General features: G+C 38.7%; 1 protein-coding gene across 11 annotated transcripts in view; it reads right to left on the reverse strand.

The window, feature by feature from the left end:
• DCX (doublecortin) overlaps nucleotides 1-22,214 on the reverse strand; it is a 118,414-nt gene that overhangs the window by 86,180 nt on the left and 10,020 nt on the right. For all 11 annotated transcript variants that reach the window (NM_001369373.1, NM_178153.3, NM_001369372.1 and 8 more), the window contains exon 3: nucleotides 21,032-21,372. In NM_001369373.1, coding sequence (NP_001356302.1) covers nucleotides 21,032-21,372 — 341 coding nt within the window. The remainder of the gene's footprint in view (nucleotides 1-21,031; nucleotides 21,373-22,214) is intronic.

The raw sequence follows: 22,214 nt of genomic DNA on the forward strand, positions 1-22,214 counted from the left end.
AGCATCTTTTCATGTACGTGCTCCTTGGAGAAATATCTATTCAAGGCTCTGCCATTTTAAAATTGGACTATTATCTTTTTATTATTGATGTGTAAGAGTTCTGTGTATATATTCTAGGTACAAGTCCCTAGTCAGACATATGATTTTCAAATATTTTCTTCCATTTTGTGAGTCATATTTCCACTTTATTGATGTATCATGTGCAGCACAGAAGTTTTTAATTCTTATGAAGTCCAATTTGTCTATTTTTTCTTTGGTTGCTTGTGTTTTTGGTATCATATCTAAGAAACCATTGCCTAATCTAAATTCAAGATTTATACATATTTTTCCTTAAGAATTTCATAGCTTACATTTGGGTCTTTGATTCATTTTGAGTTAATTTTTATATATGCTGTGAGGTGGGGATTTAACTTCATTCTTGTCCATGTGGATATCCAGTTGTTCCAGCACTGTTTGCTGAAAAGACTACTTTTTTCCCTATTGAATTACATTGGTATTTTGAAAATCAATTGGTTGTAAATGTAAGAGTTTATTTTTGAACTCTCAATTTTATTCCATTGATTTATGTGTCTATGTCAGTACCACACTGTTTTGATAACTGTAAACTTGTGGTAAGTTTGAAATTAGGAAGTATAAGTTTTACTTTATCCCTCTTTTTTTCAATATTGTTTTTGCTATTCTGGATCCCTTGAATTTCCAAATGAATTTTAGGATTAGTTTATCAATTTCTGCAAAGTCAGTCAGTATTTTCATAGGAATTTCATTGAATCAGTAGGTCAATTTGGGGAATATTATTACATTAATAATATTATAAATTCTCTTTTGAACTGGTTTATAATATCAGCCTGGTTCTCTCATTTATTATGAGTTAAATAAATTTTTAACACATGTTCATTTTTATATTTGCGTGTTATGATATTATCTTTTTTTTGAAAATTATATTTTAACATCTGTGATTTAGGTAAAGCAAGGATACTTCCTCCATTTCATAAATGTGGATACTGACACCCCAAGAGGTTAAGTGACTGGCATGGGTTGAACAGCAACTTAATGATAGAGCTATGACTAAAACCCAGGTATTTTGACTCCCAATCAAAGATGTTTTTACCATCAACATTTTGTTTCTTAAAAATTTTTAAATGGTAGAAATGATGTTCTGGAAAGAATTCTGTTAGGTTTCTGCTTGGAATATAATTTCTTTTTTTTTTCTCTTTTCTATATTCCAAACTCTACTCTGCCAATATGATGTCCTTGTGTTTTCAGTATATATTTATTTTAGCTAAACTTAACAAGGTTGAATTATTTGTGTGGCATTTGTTTCTTGGATCAAGGTATGGGGGAATCCAAAATATAGTGCAAAGGATTAGACAGGACATAATGTTGAATGAAAGTACTAGTGTAGTATAGTCCATGACACAGGGAACCCCAAAGGAATATATATCAATTGGGACACTAAACAGAATTTGGGATGACAGAGAATTATCTGTACATAATGGTATGGGTGTAAGGCTTTCATGGGAGGAGGTGGGGAGGCTGACATGAAAAAATGCAGAATTGCCCTGAAGATTTAAGAAGGCAGCCATTTGTTCTGCCCATTCTGTGAAGAAAACAACTCTACTCAGAACCTATTTCAAAGAAATCCTATTTAGAAAACAAGCATATTTTCTCTCTCAGTCTTTTGTGTCCAAGCAGAATATGTCATTCTCCAACATTTACTTGCAAATTGGAAATGTCTCTATTAAGACGTAACTCCCAGTAACTATGGTTGTCCAAAGTTGAAATTCCTCAACACTCACTTACGCTGAATATTAGGCTATGTGTCGTAAAACAAAAATCAACAAAGGAGATGAGGCCTACAGTTTCAGCTTGTATTAAAGATATAGGTTCTTATTTCTAATCCATTCTAAAGGGCTATTGATGATGCAAGAATATTACTCTGGTTTTCTAATGTAGCTATCTAAAGCAAGCCTTTGATTCTTTTTTTTTAAATCCACTGCACCATCCCTGTACCTTATTTTGAATATTATTTATAGCAGTCGTTCTCATGCTTTGGCAATAGTCAGAATTACTGGCAAAGATTGTTGAAACCCAGAATGCTGGGCCCCACCCATTTTGAATTCAGTAGATCTAGAGTGAGAACTGAGATTTTGTATTTCTAACAAGTTCCCAGATGACGCTGATGTTGCTAGCACATGAACCACACATTGAGGACCACTACCTTCTAGCCTTCTTTGGTCTTCTGGCCCACAGTATCAGCATCACCTAGGAACTTGTTAAAAATGCAAAATCTTGTACACAAATTAAAGTTTGAGACGCACTAGAGAACATTGAGGCCAGTGGTTTCTAGACCTGGATGTTATCAGAATTGCTTGTGGAGCTTTCAAATTTCTAGATTTCCAGGTCCCTCCCCCAACAATTCAGTTCCCAGTGATTCTGATGCACAGCCATGTTTGGGAAACATTGCTTTAGACAAGTGCTATCCCAAAATACTTTTATCACAACCTCTCCACCTCTCCTCACATACAGTCACATGTTATCCTTTAGCAATTTCTGTGAATGGCAAATGAGCCCAGCAGAGAAGCATTTTACTAGGGCTTTGAATGGCCTTAAGCAACTGGAAGCTGTTCACACAAGTGGCTCAAGCATTGATTTTGTAAAAACAACATGTTAAATACTGGAACTGGGGGAAGGGAGAGATACAAGAGAGTGCAAGACAGGATCTGTTGGGGAGATAGACCTAACACACATAAAAAAATAACTGCAAAACAATGAAGTGATAAACTCTCTGGCATTCTCAGTATGCCTGATGTTCAAACAAGGTATGTGAATCAGAAAACTGCTCAAAAAGAGGTGACCATGGGCATGCATAGGGAATCATCTCACATTTTTTTTTCATTTTCTCTTCTAGGAGTCATTCAACAAATGGTCTCTGAGACAAAGAATAACTCAACAATATGGAGCTAAATAGGGGAATAGAAAATGCACTTAACGCTCAACAAATTTTGTATAGAAGGATGAATCACAGAGAGTGCATCCGATTAAATAAGGAAAGGGTGGGAATGGGGACATGGATCTTGAATAAAAATTACTCTTGGTTTCCATCCTCTACAAAATGTGGCATCTACAAGCTGAGTGTAAGCCAAAGACTCCCAAGCCAGGAACAAATGAAGGCCCTCCTAAGCAAAAATGCCTGATACCATGCTAAAATCCCCAAACCTCATTCCTTTTCTTCCAGACATGATTATGCCCCAAACAGATGATGTAGGCTAGAAATATGCTAGAACTAGACTAACAGCACCCCCAGCTATAGATTTATGTCCTTGTGCAAGATGTTTATGTTTCTTCTTGGTGAAAAATATAAATTTTCAGGACATATTCATTTGCCAAAATTTTAATCCAATAATCTATATCCTAGCTTTTGAAATGGAGCACTTACTCATTTGATAATTCAAGGAGACCTGGGAAATGAAAAAGAATAAAAGTTTTATCCATTGTCCTACTAGTATAATTTATTGACAGAGCGGATGCTTTGCCTGGTTACCAATTAGTATTTTCTGATTCTATTGGCATGATCATCCCTTACAAATGAATAATGGTTATGTTATTCAGAGCACCTTCACAGGTATTTTGATGTCTACAGCTCTAAAGTTATATGACCTAATATTGTCCTTTATGGCCCTATGAGGTAGGTTAGGCAAGGTCCCTTAATCTGTTCTGTACCTTAGTTTATTCATCTATAAAATGAGAGGGTTGGACTAAAACAATAGTTCTCAATATTGGCTGAACATTGACTTGCCTAGGGAGATTTAAAAAATACTGACACTCGTGCCTGGGTCTCAGCTCCAGAGGATTTTGATGTAATTAGTCTGGAGTCAGGTCTAGGCATTGAACCTTCTAAAAGTTCCCCAAGATTTCTAGTGGACAGCCAAAATTGAGACCCACTTGATTGGATGAGGACTAAGGTCTCTTACAGCTCCGATATTCTGAGTCTAGATGCCATTTTAATTTTAAGGATGAGGTAACTGAGACACAGAGGGGTTAAAGGACGGCTGAAGTTCAAAAACTAAATCACTTCTAAGATAGATGATAAACCCTAACCCATGTCTTTCTACTTCAAAGCTTAGACCTTTGTTTCCAGCTGCCTTTAGTTTACCAAATGTCTAAATCTGTATGGTTATTAACCCTGACTTTAGCCTTTATACCTTTATCTATAGAAATACAACATTTCAGAAATATTGCCCTTGGACTATTGCCTTCCTCTGTTGAGCTCACTATACCTTCTCCTCCATTAGAAGGCCTTCATGAATTAGCCTCCACCTGGCCCTAATCTAAGTGCGTATGCATTATTTTAGTACTTACTAATTATTAAGTCACTCTCCATTCATTCGTTCATTCAATATATATATTGAGCATATACCATGTTCCAGGCACTATTCTAGGTCCTGAGGATATATCTATGAACATGATAATGCCTCTGCCCCTGACAGTTGTTCATATGTTACTCTAAAGATATAAGACTTTACTCTAGGTATGGAGTTTGTCTTCTTGACTAGATTGTAAGCACCTCAAAACTAGATACTTTATTTTCTGGTCCCTATAGAGTCTCCCAAAGTGCTAGTACAATACTCTGCAAATAACGGATGCATTGCGGTTTAATGATTATAAAGGACCATCACAGTCAGCTATTAATGGAACCTACTATTAAGAAAGTCACTAAAAATTGGAACTATTGGGCATTTTGTTTATTCTTTATATGATAGATAATTAAAATTTACTGATGTCTGGGACTCTTGCCAGCATGGAATTATTTCTAGACATTGACAGGAAGCAGCTTAAGATTGGCTATTTTGGAAAGTTTGAAATTTGAGTTATGTTATCATGGAACTTTATGTACAGGGAGGACTGAAGTGCACAGAATGTTTGCATTGTGGAAGGAACTTTTGGGAATATATTCTACCAAAGTAGAAACTGAGATCCAAAGAGAGGTTGTGGTTTCTCATAGATTATCCAGCTCTTTAGTGTCAAAGCAGGAGTCTCTGAGTCCCTTGACCAAAGCTCTTTTCCACAATTTATTCCTGTGTTGCGGGGCTTGGCAAATGCCCTGGAAAAGGCAGTGCCTTTGAACTCCAGATTGAAACATCAACTCTTCTCTGCGTCTCCAGCCTGCTGGCCTGCCCTGGATTTGCCAGCCCTCACAAACTGTGTGAGCCAATTTCATAAAATAAATCTCTTTATATACATCCTATTGGTCCTGTTTCACAGGAGAACCCTGACCACAAAAAGCCCATATAATAAATATGTTGGGTTTTCTGGTCCTACATTTTCTCTGTTGTATATTTTTTGTCCTGTTTAAAAAACCTATAGCTTGCTGACCTCTGATTTATTGTATTTTGACTAATGGAAAATCAAGTTCTTGGCTGGGTACAGTGGCTCACACCTGTAATCCCAGCACTTTGGAAGGTGGAGGTGGGCAGATCACCTGAGGTCAGGGGTTTGAGACCAGCCTGGCCAGTATGGTGAAACCTCGTCTCTACTAAAAATACAAAAATTAGCCAGGTGTGGTGGTAGGCACCTGTAATCCCAGATACTCGGGAGGCTGAGGCAGGAGAATCACTTGAACCTGGGAGGCAGGGATTGCAGTGAGCCAGAATCATGCCACTGCACTCCAGCCTGGGCAATAGAGCGAGAATCTGTCAAAAAAGAAAGAAAAGAAAAAGAAAGAAAGAGAAAGAAAGCAAGAAAGCAAGAAAGCAAGAAAGCAAGGAAGGAAGGAAGGAAGGAAGGAAGGGAGAAAGAGAGAGGGAGGGAGGGAAGGAGGGAGGGAGGGAAGGAAGGAAGGAAGGAAGGAAGGAAGGAAGGAAGGAAGGAAGGAAGGAAGGAAGGAAGGGAAATCAGGTTCTCCTTTGTATTCCAAAGGGAAGTTTCCTAGAGACTGTAAACTCTAATCAGCCTTAATTCTTTCTAATTATATTTCAATCTGATTACTCTTGTTTTCTATCTCTCACTAGCTCTGCCTTTTGTATGAAGATTTCCAGGATCTAGAATCTTCGTGTTTATGCTGTGTGTGTTACATACACAAACTAGCTACCCCACATCATTCTGTTCTGTTTCAGGCTGGGACTTGACAAGGGCAAGGGCAGTATGGAGCAGATACTGTCATCCTTGAAAGCCACATCCAGCTAGGGGGATGGGAACCTATTGATTGATTTAAACAATTTTTTTTTCTTTGCTTGGCAAGATGGGAAGGAGAATGATTGCTGTCTGACCTCAGGTCTCAGCAAGGTCCCTGTGGAGTAGCCAACCTCCATACCGCTCGGTGAACTGAACCACAGCCAGCGCTGTTAAGCTGAGTGGGAATGTGTGTGTGAATTTTTTTAGCTTGCTCAGTAACAGTTATTTCCTCTGGAGTCCAAGTGCCAGCCCCGGACCAAGCCAGAAAAATATCTACAAGCAAAGTGGCAATGTAAAGTAAAACCCCATGAGAGTGTCCCCTCTAAATTCTTATCTTCTATTTACATCAGTTCGTGTCTAATCCCAACCACCACCAGCTTCCAGATAGGGTTTATTGGTAAACCGTTAGGAAACAGACTCTTCAGCAGTCAATGTGACAGCAGTGGTCAGATTCAGAACCCTACTTCAGGGTGGGGTGGCTGTTGCTAAGGAAGATTACAGTTGGGGTTGACATAGAGCTGCCTAAATTAACTACCACTAATATAGACATGGATTAAAACCAGCCCTACCCTCTTTTCTCTGGATGAACTGCAGTAATTCATCCCATTGCTAATCAACTTTCACTCCACCTTCACTCAGCTGCCTTCTGTAGGACCACAGGCTAAATGACAGAAACAGTTTCAGCTTGAAAATGAATGACACCATCCATCATTCCCAGAAGCCTCTCCTGGAAGATGCTGAGGACGCAGATTTCTATTCCCAACTCTGAGTCCACCGAGCCAGAAAAAAATGCCGACTATTGACAGCGTTTTATTACCATGCTTTGAATAGCGGGTAACACATGTTAGAACAAAGGAAGGGGAGAAGCACTCCTTGGTACATCTCAATTAGTAGCTGGTACATCCAAGAAGCTACCACATTCTTAGACTAAACCTTCAGTGAGTCATACCATTCTTATTCATTGCTTAGCCCATGTGACCTCACAATGCCAGCCCAGAAATCAGATAGCTCTGTATATCCAGGGCTGATTATCTGTTAAGTATGGTAGGCAAAGTGCCTAGGGCCCACAGCACTGTTATGGACCCATGAAAAGGGTTTAATTTCTTTGAAAACCAGAAACATAAATAAACGTTTAGGTTGGTAAAAATGCTTTAAAATGTAATATTAATATATACATCTTTATATCAGCACAATGGTAGTTTGTTTTTTAGTGGAGGAAGAGATCCACAAAGGCAAAAGTGCCTAGGGCCCACCAGAAGCATAATGCATTCCTAAGTTTATCAACTATTCCTAAAGATCCAAAATCTAAAGGGTAGGATGACCTGCTAGAGAACTCACACTTCTTTTAATCAGAGAAATCTGGGAAAGCACAAACATCAATTCCCAACAGGAGACAAGTCAAACACTTGAAACTCCAAGCAAGGCAAGGCTCCATTCTCTTTGCAAAAGCAAGAGGAAGTTCACCTATCAACTGCCATATTAAATAAACTGTGGAGGCAAATACTGCCAGAGGGAGGCTTTTTATCAAGGCTGTAATGTCTCTGGTGAGTAAGACCAGAAATGTTCTGACATATAAATATTTATATACGACTTCATCAGATGAGACAGCCAATACTTAAAAGAAACAGGGGCACAAGTGTGTGTATGCAGACACAAAGAGACTTAGAGAGGTGCTGGTCTCTGGCTCAAAACCTCTTTTAAGGGATATTATCATGCTGTGCGAGCCATTCAGACCCCTAGGGTCTTCCAAATTATTGCCAGCTGGAGAAGTATCGGCTTGGTGCAATAGAAAGTGTGCAGTCTATTTAAATGGTAAACACTACTTATGGAAGTTAAGTCTAATTAGTAAACCTGACTGATTCCTCCAGTGAGACTCTGCAGCATGGTGTGGTGAGTGGAAGGAGTGCTTGTTTGTATAGGACTAAATCTATTGTGAAGGTTCTAAACCTGGCAATTGATATTACTTCCTCTTTACCACTAAGGCTAGAGAAGCCAGACTTTAATGCCTATGATCAATAGGATTTTCCTAACCTCTTACAACTTTGGGGGACTATTCAAACATCTTCTAGAAAATTTGCCCCTTTTGTTCAATTTCTCCTTTTCCTTCTATAGTTTATATCAGAGATGGATGCTCTGAAGTCCTGCCTTTACCATGGGTGAATAGGTGTTACCTTTGCAGTGATTGTTGGTACTCTATCAACAAAGCCCTTTTTGATTTAGTTTATAAGCCCTATCAAAATGCAGTGGTGCCTGTTTTCTTTCAATTTAATTATTCCTTTCAGCCTTGAAGGTTTTTCCTTTTCAAGATTCTCTAATTAAAATACAAATAAATACCTGAGGCAAAGACCAGTGATTCCCAAAGTGCATTCTACCCTATGGTCATAGATTTATATTTAAGGTTTGGTGTTCAAACAAGTTTGGGGAATACTGGTCTAAACACAAGCAGGTTTCTTTGTAGAGGGATTCTTGGAGTCTTTTTTCCAAGAGGAGACTATACTATGCAATGTTACTAAACTTATTTGACCACAGAATATTTGATCAGACTAGTGTTACATATAGCGTAATTTGAGAAATGTGCTCTAAATTGATAGGAGCTAACACAGTGAGGATTGATTTGTTAGAGCCTTACCAACTAAATCCATGAACTATGATGAAGGCTTTGAGAAAATCAGACTCAGAAAATGTCTGATTTATCTGAGTTAGGACTTTAAGTGATAAGATAAGACAAGAGCACACACTTGGACTAAGGGCTAGCTCTATATGTTATAGTGTATACATGACATAAGTAAGTTACATGGGACATTTTAGCAACCAACTACATATAAAACAAGAGTTAGCAAAGAGAAAATGGGACACTGGACAGACTAGTTTTGATAGATCTGGAGCATGGGAAGCTGCCAAGAAACAGATCCAACAGCCTGACCCAGTCATAGCTCCATCTGCCTAGTCACCTCTGAGAGTCTTTATGAGCCAAGGTTTGCCCTCTGGTCTACTGGAGAATTTTGCTTTCTGTTCCCAGCAATAAGGACTATTCAAATCATCTGGATTTTATTGATTTACTATCCTAAATCTTTATCTGAAACAGACCCTGTCTGCTACATTTGACACGGCTGCCCGCACCTGCCTTTTAATGTTCTCTGGATACATCTTCATCTAGTTCTCCATGGTTTTCTCTAGCAATTCCTGGGCTCTTATGCCTACCCACCCATTTAATGCAAATGTCTACAGGGCCTTTTCCTTGGACAATTTCTCACATGCACCCTTGGTAAGCTCATCTACTTACCTGATTTTAACTACCATTGTTTGAAGATTACTCCCAAGCCTATATCTCTAGCCAAGACCTCTCTCTTGAGTTCCAGATCCATATCTATCACTTTCTCCTTCTGGAGTCTCCACTTAGATGTAGCAAAGTACCCCAACTTCAATGCATCTAAACCCCATAGCCAGGTGTGGTGAGACACGCTTGTAGTCCCAGCTACTCGGGAGGCTAAAGTGGAAGGATCACTTGAGCCCCAGAGTTTGAAGCAGCAGTGAGAAAGGATCATGCCACTGCACTCCAGCCTGGGCGACAGAGCAAGATTCTGTCAATACATAAATAAATAACCCTACTTCTTGCCCTGGCTTTCCCTGCCTCAGTGAGTGGCCCCACCATCCACCCACATAACTGAACCATAAACCTCAGCCACCTGAGTCCTCCAATTCCCTCACTTGTGGTAGGCAGAATTCTAAGAATGACCCTTCAATGACCCTGACCTTTGTATATTCTCCTCTCTTTGAATTATAATTATGAGTTGCCATTCCCATGATTATGTTATGTTTCATGGCAAAAGGGCTTTTTTATGTAATTAATGTTACCAAATTAGTTAACTTTGGGTTAATCAAAGGGGAGATTATCCAGTTGGGACCAATTTAATCACATGACCCCATTAAAAGCAGAGAATTTGCTGAGGCTGGTGGCAGAAAAGGAAATCAGAGAGATTCTAAGCATGAGAACAATCTGATGTACGTTGTTGGCTTGAAAATGGAAGGGGACATGTGAGAAGAATGTGGGTAACCTTTAGAAGCTGAAAACATTTCTCAGCTGACATCTAAGAAGGACATGGGAATTGAAATCTGCCCCAAACCTGAACAAGCATGGAACCAGACTCATTCCCAGAGCCTCCAGATAAAAGCCTATCTTATCTGACACCTTGACTTCAGCCTTGTGAGGTCTTAAACAGAGAATCTAGTCAAGCCTTCTTTAACTCTGACCTACGGAACTGTGACATAATAAATGAGTGTTGTTCTAAGCTGCTATGTTTGTGGTAACTTACTACACAGCAATAGACAATTAATACACCCTCAAATTCAATTAATCACTAAGTTCTCCAGTTTCTACCTCACAAATATTTCTTGGCTTTGTTTTCTCCTTTTTAATTTCCACTACTGCTGCCTCGATTTAGATCCTTCTATTCTCTTGCCTGTACTACCACACAGCCTCTATCTGGACTCTCTACTAGTTATGTCTTCCTGAAATTCAAAACAACAGTGACCTACTCAAACTGCATATCTGATCATATAATTCCCCTGCTTAAAATCCTTCAGTGGGGCCTGGCATAGTGGCTAACACCTGTAATCCCAGCACTTTGGGAGGCTGAGGCGGGCAGATCACTTGAGCTCAGGAGTTTGAGACCAGCCTGGCCGACATGGTGAGATCCTGTCTCTACAAAAAATACAAAAATTAGCTGGATGTGGTGGTCCATGCCTGTAGTCCCAGCTACTCAAGAAGCTGAGGCTGAGGTGGGAGACTCGCTTGAGCCCAGGAGGATGAGGCTTGCAGTGAGCCAAAATCATGCCACTGCATTCCAGTCTGGGCAATAGTGATATCCTGCTAAAAAAAAAAAAAAAAAAAATCCTTCACTGGCTTCTGTTAACACATGGTAACAATCAAGTTCTGATATGGTTTGGCTCTGTGCCCCCACCCAAATTTCATGTTGAATTGTAATTCCCAATTTTGGAGGCGGGACCTGGTGGGAGGTGATTGAATCATGGGGACAGATTTTTCCCATGCTTTTCTCATGATACTGAGTGAGTTCTCATGAGATCTGATGGTTTGCAAGCGTTTGGCACTTCCCCATTGCTCTCTCTCTCCTGCCACCATGTGAAGAAGGTCCTTGCTTCCTCTTCACCTTCTGTCATGATTGTTAGTTTCCTGAGGCCTTCCAGTCATGCTTCCTATTAAGCCTGTGGAACTGTGAGTCAATTAAACCACTTTTTTTCATAAATTACCAGTCTCAGATAGTTCTTTATAGCAGTGTGAAAATGGACTAATACCAGTTCCTTAACACAGTTTACAAGGTCATTGCTAAATATTGCCTTTGCCTTCCTTTCAGCTTCATCTTCTGCTGTGTCTGCCCGGCACCTTACCTGTAATGCAGGGTTTCTCAACTACTATAGACATATGGGGCCAGATCACTCTTTTTTTGTGGGGGGAAGCGCTGTTCTGTGCAGTGTAAGATGTTCAGCAGCATCCCTGGCCTATACCAACTAGATGTCAGCAGCACCCTTTCCCTAGTTGTGACAACCAAAAATATATCTACCAAGTGTCCCCTGGACAGCAAATTGTCCTGGTCGATGACAACTGGGCTAATGATGAAGACCTGCTGTGGCTCCCTACACCCAAGTTGTTTTTTATCTCATGAGCTAACATCACAAGACCTGAAGAGGGTAGAATATGTGGTATCGATTATAAAAGTATTCTAAATCTAGGAAAAATTGATAGACTGGAATTCTAGAAGCTCCTTTTTCTGTTCCTTTTTCAAAATAAGAAACTTTGGTGGTTTGGGGGAGAATCTGTGACCCACTGGATTGAAGGTCCCAACTGTTTAGAATGCATCTTTGATTCTGGAAGGTTAGGAGGGCCAAGGTAGAACTCAGATTAAAAAGAACAAGAAAATAGCTTCTTAGGATTTGTTCTAGCTTTAAGAAAAGTTAATAAAGAAACCTTCATGTTTCCTTCTATATTGTTTAGGAAAGAACTCTGGGGGACAAATATCTACATAGAAAAAAAAGATTGTGAATTTCTTTGTTTGGAGCATGCCTTGGGGTACATATTTTAGAAACATGAGTTTGGTGGTTGGGGGACAGAACATCAAGAAACCTCAACACCCAGCAATTCTATTACTAGATATATATTCAAGAGAAATGAAAATATATGTCTATACCTAAATCATGCCCAAATGTTTATAATAGCATTATTAATAGGCAAAAGATGGAGCAACCCAAATGTTCATCAACAAATGAATGGATAAACAAAATGTAGTATATCCATACAATGGAGTACTATTCAGCCATAAAAAAGAACAAAGTACAGATAGATACATGACAGAACATAGATGACCCTTGAAAATATTATGCTAAGTGAAAGAAGCTAGTCACTTAGCATATATACATGAATCATAAAATATGATTCATTTATACAAAATGTTCAGAAAAGGCAAATCTATAGAACTATGAAGTAGATTAGTGGTTGCTTAGGGCTGTGGGGGATAGAGGGTAGGAGAGGTAATAAAAATATTCTAAAATTGACTTTGGTGATGGTCACACATATCTGTGAGCATATTAAAATCATTGAACTGTACACTTTGAATAAGCAAAATATGTGATATGTGAATTATATCTCAAGATGTTACAAAAGAAAATAACCCCAACAATTTTGGACATCTCCTTACTCCCCTCCCCCAATCCTGTTTAGCATCACCAGAAGTGTATAGGATATTTGACAGGGAAGTTCAGATAGGTCTGGGTGGGAACTCTAGGAGTCTAGAACATGGCAGGGCACTGTCAAGGAACAATAGCCCATTTTAGCTTCTCCTATCAAGACCTCTTTTTTCCCTACAAAATAAGACTAAGCCAGCCTTACTGATACAGCCTTAGAGTATTGTAGAGTACTTGTATTGTAGAGTATTGTAGAGTAGAGTACTGTTCCACAACATCTGCATAGGAGAAGCTCCTGTGTTACATTAGTTCACACCCACAGTTCTTAGAAATTCTAAAAACCTTCAGAGGACTCGGCTATATGAACCACTGTTCATATTTAATTTAAATTAAGAAAACTGTCTTATCTTTTCTTTTCAACAAATAGTGCTAGAAAAATCAGATATCTATGTGCCCCTCCCCCAAAAGAACCTTGACTCTTATCCTGTACACAAAAATTAACACAAAATGGATCAGAGATTTAAATCTAAGAGCTAAAAATATAAAACTTCTAAAAGAACACATGGGAGAAAATTTTTGAGATGTTGGGTTAGGTAAAGATTTCTTAGATATGACCCCAAGGTATAATGCATAGAAGAAAAATTAATAAATCAGACTTCATCAAAATAAAAGCTTTTTTTCTCTTGAAAAATTAAGAAAACCATTAAGAAAATGAAGACATGCTACAGACTAGCAGAAAATTCTTGCAAATCACATATGTGACAAAGGACTTGTATCTAGAATATATAGAGAACTCTTACAACTCATTAATAAGAAGCCCAATAACTCAATTAAAGAATGGGAAAATGATCTGAACAGACATTTTTCCAAAGAAGATATACAATTGTCCAATAAGCATGTGAAAATATGTGTGATATCATTAATCATTAATCACTAGGGAAATGCAAACAAATCAAGAAAAACCACAATCAGATACCACTTCACACCCACTAGGATGGAGCTAATAAAAAAAAAAAGATAACAAGTGTTGGTGAGGATGTGAAGAAACTGGAACTCTCATACAATACGAATAAGGATGGAAAATGGTGCAGCCACTTTGGAAAACCATTTGACAGTTTCATAAAATTTTAAACACACTATACAGCCCAGCAATGCCATTTTGAGATATTTACCCGAGATAAATGAAGACATGTATCTACATAAAAATCTGTACATGAAGGTTCATAGTAGCATTATCACAATAGCCAAAAGATAGAAACAACCCAAATGTCCATTAATAGATAAATGACTAAATACAGTGTGGTAAATCCATACAATAGAATGTTATTCACACATAAAAGAAATGAAGTACCAATATATGCTACAACATGGATGAACCTTGAAAACATTATGCTAGGTCAGGCAGGCCAGGTGCAAAAAGCCACATGATTCCATTATTATTAAATGTCATGAATAAGACAATCCATAGAGCAAAAAGCAGATAAGTGATTGTTTAGGGATGGGGAAGTGGAATCGGAGAACTAGAGGGCAATGTCTAAAGGGTACAGCGTTTCTTTTTGGGATAATCAAAGTATTTTAAAATTGATTGTGGTGATGGATGCAGACCTCTGTGAATATACTAAAAGCTGTTGAATTTTATACATAAGATGAGTGAAATATATAATGTGGGGATTATATTTCAATAAAGCTGTTTTTAAAAACTGTTTTTGGAGACAATGCTTTTTCTCCCACTTTGAGGGAATGACAATAATGAAACAGATGAAAATAAAGAACTAAGAACAAAAAGACCATTGCTTCAACAGTTTTAAATGGAACAGCCTGCATCCCTGGATAGATCAATCCCCACTTGATGAATCTCTTCAGTCTACTCAAGAAATAGCAAGGCATTTAGCACCAGTGCTAACCACCCCCATTAGTAATAATCCTTCCCTAGCACTGAAAATAGCACCACTGTGATATAAATAGCTTAATAATGGCACTGTCAAACACTTGCCACAATTTTAGCAGGCTGGCTTTTGCCTTGCTTTGTTTTGTGAGTCCTCTGCCTTCTGCTCCTTATACCATCCACAGTGTAAAGAAAAGGGGGTCAAACGAAAATTACAAGTTTGAAAATATTCTTTGGTGATGTCATTGCAGGCAGCAAGAAAGATCTGAATATAAGAATTATGCAAATACCTTTTAGAGGCCATCCTGGAAAGCAATGTATCCACCAAAGTAAGTACGACATCACATTGGCAATCCTTAGGAGCATAGAGAGGTAGAGTACATTCAGAAGAGTGAAAACATGTCTCGACAGAACCAACACTATGAGGTGGATACTCTGTTATTGTGGAACTAGAAGGACTCTTACAGGTCATATACTAAGGCTCCTTAAAAAATTAAGGCCCAAAAAGAGACGTGATTGGCTCCACGTTACATAGCTAGGGAAGAACAGAGTGAAGACTAAAACTCAGGCCTCTGAATCCCAGCCTAGGGCTCTTTCCACTTGCTGAATGCTAGACAGTGACAGACTAGTCAGCACAAGAGACTGGAATTCTATGCCAAAGCTTTTGATTGAATTGGCCAAGTCACACCTCTGTCACTGCTCAGAGCCAGGAGCATCTCAACAACAATAAAACTCTAAGAGGATAAATTACTGAAGAAATAACTGATCACCAGGCTACACTTAGTCTTTTCTTTCCAGAAGGGCAGTATATTTGATGTTTGGCCACTCTTTTAAAGTGTGAAATCTACCACCACATATGACATGGTAGTTTGCAAACTGTCTCCTTTCACAGAGCCCAGCCTGGCTTTTCACCTTTGTTCTATTTCACTTCATGCTCAAGCCAATCCTCCCAAAGCCTTTCTCTAGGAACCTCTGAAAGGTTGGAGAAGGAGAATTTTGGTAATAAAAACATGAACTTTCCAGCCTTGATCTTCTCAAGTGAAGGCCAATGATAAATGACCTCCCTCTTGAGGCATAATTTATGCCCATGTGGCCTTTTCTAATGAGCCCAATGTTGACTGACAGGGTCATAACACTAGGAGAAGAGAGAGGTTGGCTCTGAGAGAGCCGGAGGCCAGGGAGTATAAATAAGATCAGATATTACTTGGGAAAGCAGAGATAACAGGGGAGAGAAAAACTGGCTATGTAGGCAAAGGAAAAACACACCTACCTTGGTAAGTGCATTCAACATTTCCAAGGTTAAATCCAATCTGTCTTGCTGTGTTTCCTGCAATTGCCTTTGTGCTTACAGCACCCAGTTCTTTTGTATGGCAACGTGGAAAGGGCAAGTCTTTCCTAGAATACTAAGCAGCAATTGAAACATCCCTCATGCTCTCATCTGTGTATTATGCATCAACCATTTCCTTAAAACCCCTGTACTAGTTTCCAAGGCTATGGATAATCTTGGAATCGGCTTAAACCTCTCCTCTGTTATTCTGAGACCTGTAATCCCAGATCCAAGTAGTCGGTGCTATAAAGGTACAGACAAAAACATAAAATAAATCCTTCCAATTGAAAATTGGCCTAACAAAGCTAGAACAAGCACTAAAGGCCATACTTATGTCTTAGGCATGTATATTGAGGCAATAATGAATCTTCACTTGCACAGATTCTGGGTGTGGACAAAACTGAATCTAGAGATGTCAATCAGTGTAGCATGAAAATGGATGTTGTGAAGACCAGCTGCACCACTGTGTATGATGCCAAAAAGCTGGAAGTCTATTATTAAAGCTCTGCAATTAATTTTAAGGCCAGAACATGTATCTATTAAACTACTACTATCATGTGAACCAGAAATTTGGGTCCCAGTTTTTATGTATCCATCACTTTTATGCATGAAAGTCAATGTGTACTTTAGTTATGGAAATTAATAATTGGATAATTTTGTCAACACTCCACAACCACTCCAGCTGCCAAGGAATCAAAAGAACAATTTTCACCTGCAAGTGAACTAATATGCATCACCATCCAATCCTCTATCATGTCCTCTTTGACCTCCTAGAAGTCCATTTTAATCCCTGGGAGTAGCCAGAGCCCTACCAACTACTTCTTATATCATTAATAACTTCTTATTGAGGTGAGGAATCAATTGGGGTGTCTTCCTACTAGTGGTGGTTGGCTTTCCTGTCTACACAGACCCCAAATATCTCAGAGGCAAGAGGTCAGGAAACCAAACTTCTATAACATCAAACATAAGCCCTAGAAAGATCAAGGGCTCTAAAAGACACATTCAAACAAAATAAAAACAGAGAGAAAGAAATGAGCCATGTCTGCAGATTGCTTGTCAATCAGTGTGAGCCAATCAGTCAAATGATACACACAATTACAGAAGCAACAATAAATTTGCAATAACCAACTGGGCTCTTTTAGCTGATCATTATTTATATGAAGAGGGAAAACCACCTGGTTTGGTCGATTTGGAATCCAGTTATAGTGAACACTGAAATCAAGCGATGGCCTTGATTTCATGAATAAATCATTCCATAACAAATAGTCTTGACCATACTTTGTTCTTTACAAATAAGTGCCTTGTGTCACGTATAGCCAAAAACATGCATTGGAATCTCATCCAAGCAAGTCAAGCTATTGCCATACATGTGACTTCAGCCTCCACAAAAAAGATTATATTCGCAAGCAGTACGAATACCCACTAATAATCAAAGTGATTGACAGGTGTTAACTTTAGTGCTGTCATCACCAGACCTGGGAAATGAGCTGAGCTCCAAAATTTTGAATTTGGCACCAACTTTCACTATACCCAGCATCTATTTTGTAATTAGTAGGTTTGTCCATGTACCCCCAAATTTTATTTAATGTCTTTGCTGTAACAAAACAACGTTTAATTTGTGGTCACCCTGTGCATACCAATATTACCATTAAAGTTACGGTAGTTAGTTCTTAATTATCAGTGTTTTATGTAAACAACATTTTCTAGTGCACTCTGTGCATGTGTGTGTGTGTATATCTACATATATGTGTGTGTGTATATCTACATATATGTGTGTGTGTATATATACATACATATACATATATGTATGTGTGAGTATGTGTGTGTGTATATTTCATTAAAAATGTTTGTGGTTAAGTAGGATTGGGATGGATTTCCTTGCTGTAGAACTTCTCAGAGCATTCAATGTGCCAGTGAGCACTGGAATCTCTAAGAATGGCACACAATTTGCAGCATTTTACTGCAAATAAGGCAAACCTTATTTGCCCACAGAATTCTCTTTGGAGAGCTTTTTGGGGTGGGGACATGGAGACATTTCTCCTTAGAATGTATTTAGGGAAATGTTGCTTTAAATGTCTGCCCTCAGTGACTTCCAAGTAAACCACCAGATAGAAGCCACCTGGTGGAATATGCACTCCTTTGGAGGCCCCCTATCTCTTCTGAAAGACCTAAGGATAATGTCTGGGGAATTGAAAGATGGGTCCTCAAAACATCTACCTGGGCCATCTGAGAATCTGTTTATGTCAGTTCATTCAATCAAAAAACATTTATAGAGCATCCATAATATACCAGGAGCTTAGCATTAATTAAAAAAAAAAAAAGGTTTGGATTGCTTTTACCCTCCTTAGCAGAGACAGAAATTTTCAAAGATAAAGTGATATTTGAACCAGGTCTTATAAGATGACCTCCAGGGGTCAGGGTGGGCAGAGGAAGACATTTTAAAGAAAGGGAATGTATATACAGAGGTACAGATGCCTGAAAGGGCATGGTTCAGATCCACTGGGCACCACTCTATTTCTCTATATGAATGTCATATCATATGCTGGTATTTTGTAATATGTCCCCCAAAGAAAGGGAACTGATGTTTAAAGGAGTTTGAGAGAGCTTGCCACTCTGCATGGCCTGCTGTAGGACAAAACCCTATGCATCACTGGACTGGAGCTTGCTTCCCTAGGAGATGGAGGTGTCCCTTTATATATTATTTGGAACAAAAGCAGAATGCCAAGGCATGGTATATATTCACAAATGTTGGAAATTTATAATAAGAATGATAGAGATAAAGTAGGGGGAAGAGGCTAGGCATGGTGGCTCATGCCTATAATCCTAGCACTTTGGAAGGCCAAGGTGGGCGGATTGCCCTAGCTCAGGAGTTCAAGACCATCCCGGGCAACACAGTGAAAACCCGTTTCTACTAAAATACAAAAAAATTAGCCGGGTATTGCAGCGTGCGTCTGTAGTCCCAGCTACTTGGGAGGCTGAGGCAGGAGAATTGCTTGAACTCAGGAGGCAGAGGTTGCAGTGAGCCAAATTCACACCACTGCACTCCAGCCTGGGTGACAGAGTGAGACTCTGACTCCAAAAGTAAATAAATAAATAAATAAAGTAGGAGAAAGAGAGCTAACATTTATTAATATATGAAAATTGCCATAAATCTCATTTAATGATGAATTATATGCATATATATATATATACATCCATGTGTCAATTTACAGAGTGCTTTCATATCCATTATTTGATTTAATCCTCATAAGAGTCCTGTGAGCATGCTCAGGGCAGGTGTGATCAGTCCTTTTGTACAGAGAAGGAGTGTGAGGTTCAGGACAGTTAAGTGGTTAAGTGACAATATCAAGACTAAAGTCCAAATCTTCTTAATCCCAGTCTTATGTTTTTGATTTGCATATTCCTATATTACTTCAGAAGGCTGAAGGCACAGGGAATCAGATTTATGCCTAATATAAAGAAACTCTAAAAATCACAGCTGTTGAACAGTGAAATAGGCTGTCTTATAGTCTTATAGAGTGATTGTAGAGGATATCCATGCCTTAGGTGGAAGATTAAATGTCATGGCTTCTAAAGTCATTCTCAACTCTGTGATCCAATGATTCTAAACTTTCTATGTCCTATTTCTCTGAGATGAGGCTTTGGCAATCAGGCCTATACTTAGACAGCTCCTGTTTATTACATACATGGTGCTTAGAAGATAGACACTCTTAGAGAAATGCTTGGGAATTGGAGATTTTCCCAACATCACAGACAAACCCATTGCTTCAGTACAACAAACAGAAGTCAGGTATAACCAATGTGTCCAGGTAGCTCTCAGATCGCAAAATGATGGGAAACAAAGCCAAATATTTCTCAAAATTGCAAAGTACACAGTACCTGGGTGAGTTTTCCCTGAAACTTAAAATCTTGGAGCACACATTACTATCAGAAATTATAGGAGGAGGCACAGGTCTGCATTTGAACACTCATCAGTAACTTTGATATATAGTGAATCCGCCTTTTAGGAATACCTTTTCTATATAGTTGTTTAAACACCAAAGGCATTTTAAGAGGTAGAATATATGGACTGATACTAATCCACACTTGTCTTTTCTGATGGGAGACCAGAATTCTCTTTAGAGCCAACAGAACCAGCCACTGTTCCAATTCCCTTGGAACATTTTTGTTGTATATTTACAGCTCCCTATGCTTAAGAGAATGGTGCATCTGTCTGATGGAGACGCCTGGCTGCATTCTTTCCCAGATATTAATATAGGTGGCACTTTAGTAGTATAACCAATGACATGAAGAACCTGATTTGGAGGGGGAACAGATGGCAGCATCTTTCTTGGGCTAATTTTAGGATCCTGAAATAGTCCCTTTCTCACACAAACCATCAGTGGAACCAAATTAAGACAGCTATGTCATATGGAAAAGAGAAAGAGAATAAATATGGTTTAGTGTGAGGCAAAGACAACGAGCCAGAGGCTTCAGTGCTTTCCCCGTATCTGACTTCTTTCAGAGCATATGAAGGTCACTTCAACTTCCTTTTATCAAAATAGATGCTGAGCATCAATGTGAGGGTATCTAAAAAGTAATGAATGGGCAAATATCATTTTCAGTCACATGTATTGAACAATGAAGGTTGCATCATATAATAGCTAAATTCATATTCATAAGAATTCATAGAACCTAGGTTCTAACACATCTTTCATAGCAGATAAGGAAGCTGAGGCTAAGTGACCTTTCTGCATGGTAAATCAGAAGCAGATTGAATTTCAAAGCCTCAGATTCCTGATTCATTGCTTTGCCTGCTAAAAATACCTTTTCTCCAAATGAAACCTATAATATCAGGTTGTGATGATGAGATGTGGAGGAAGAGTCCGTCAACAAGAAATGATATTTTAGGTATAACATGATCATCTAAGAATTTAGAAAAAACGGGAAAAGTACTTTGAAAAAGTACCTACCTGTTTTCCATCCAGAGTGTAGAGTTTTTTGACAACCCCGGTCTCCAGTTTGATGGCTTCTGTGATATCAGTGAGGACTTGCTCAAAAGAGTGGGCTGTCTTCTTGTTCAGAAGCACACGCACAGCCTTCCGAGGCTTCACCCCACTGCGGATGATGGTAACCAGCTTGGGGCGCACAAAGTCCTTGTTCTCCCTGGCCTGTGCACTGTTGCTGCTAGCCAAGGACTGGGGGGCTTTCATATTGGCAGATGTTTTTACGTTGACAGACCAGTTGGGATTGACATTCTTGGTGTACTCCACCTTTTTAAAGAAGTTGTCTGAGGAACAGACATAGCTTTCCCCTAAGGCAAGAAATAAGTGATTAGGTGATTAGTTTAATAGCAGATATATGGATTATTCTAACCAAACTAATACACACTGACACTGGAGTAGAACTTTTCAATAAATGGTGATACTAACCAACCTTAGGTGCAATTCCTAATTGGGCTAAAAACTTGGCTCATCCAAATTCAAGAGTAATTCTCAAAACATCCTTCAATATAATGACACACCTAGTTGAAGAACTCTGTAAAGCTAAGGGTTCTAAGGACAAAGAGCATATCTAAATTTAATATAACAAGTGGAGTTCCAAGCTTGATATGGTTTTTTCTGGAATTTAAACATTTATGTTAGTTTCTAGGATGTTTAGCTTTCAGGGGCATTACTGGAGAATTTTTAACATTTCTATTTCTTAAAATCCCTGTCCTATTTTTGGACTCAAAGTCCCATCCCTTTGTGATATTATGAACCAAGGAAAACTTTCAAAGTTAAAACATTTTTATGCCAAGTTAAAATGAACCAAGTAACCTTGTATATCAGGCATACATACATACTTGATAAGAAACCAGGTCATCCTTTGCACAGAGTATATGGCCAAGTATGGAATATTGAAATGTGAAATGTGTGTGCATATGTTGAATGTTTATATGTGTGTATAAGTGTGTCCTCTACTCCTTATGCTACACTAGGTAGAGAAACTGTCTAAATAACAACCAGTACATATAAACACCTTAGCTTTTGCTTGAAAAATACTCTCATGTTTCTACCACTCACCCTTCATCTTTCCATCCTCTCAAAGGATGCACATAAGATCTGTGTATTCAGGGTCATCTTCACCAGTGCTCACCCTTGGCTGCCACAAGTA

The sequence above is a fragment of the Homo sapiens genome, chromosome X (assembly GCF_000001405.40).
Source record: "Homo sapiens chromosome X, GRCh38.p14 Primary Assembly".
In the NCBI taxonomy this organism is placed as follows: Eukaryota; Metazoa; Chordata; class Mammalia; order Primates; family Hominidae; genus Homo; species Homo sapiens.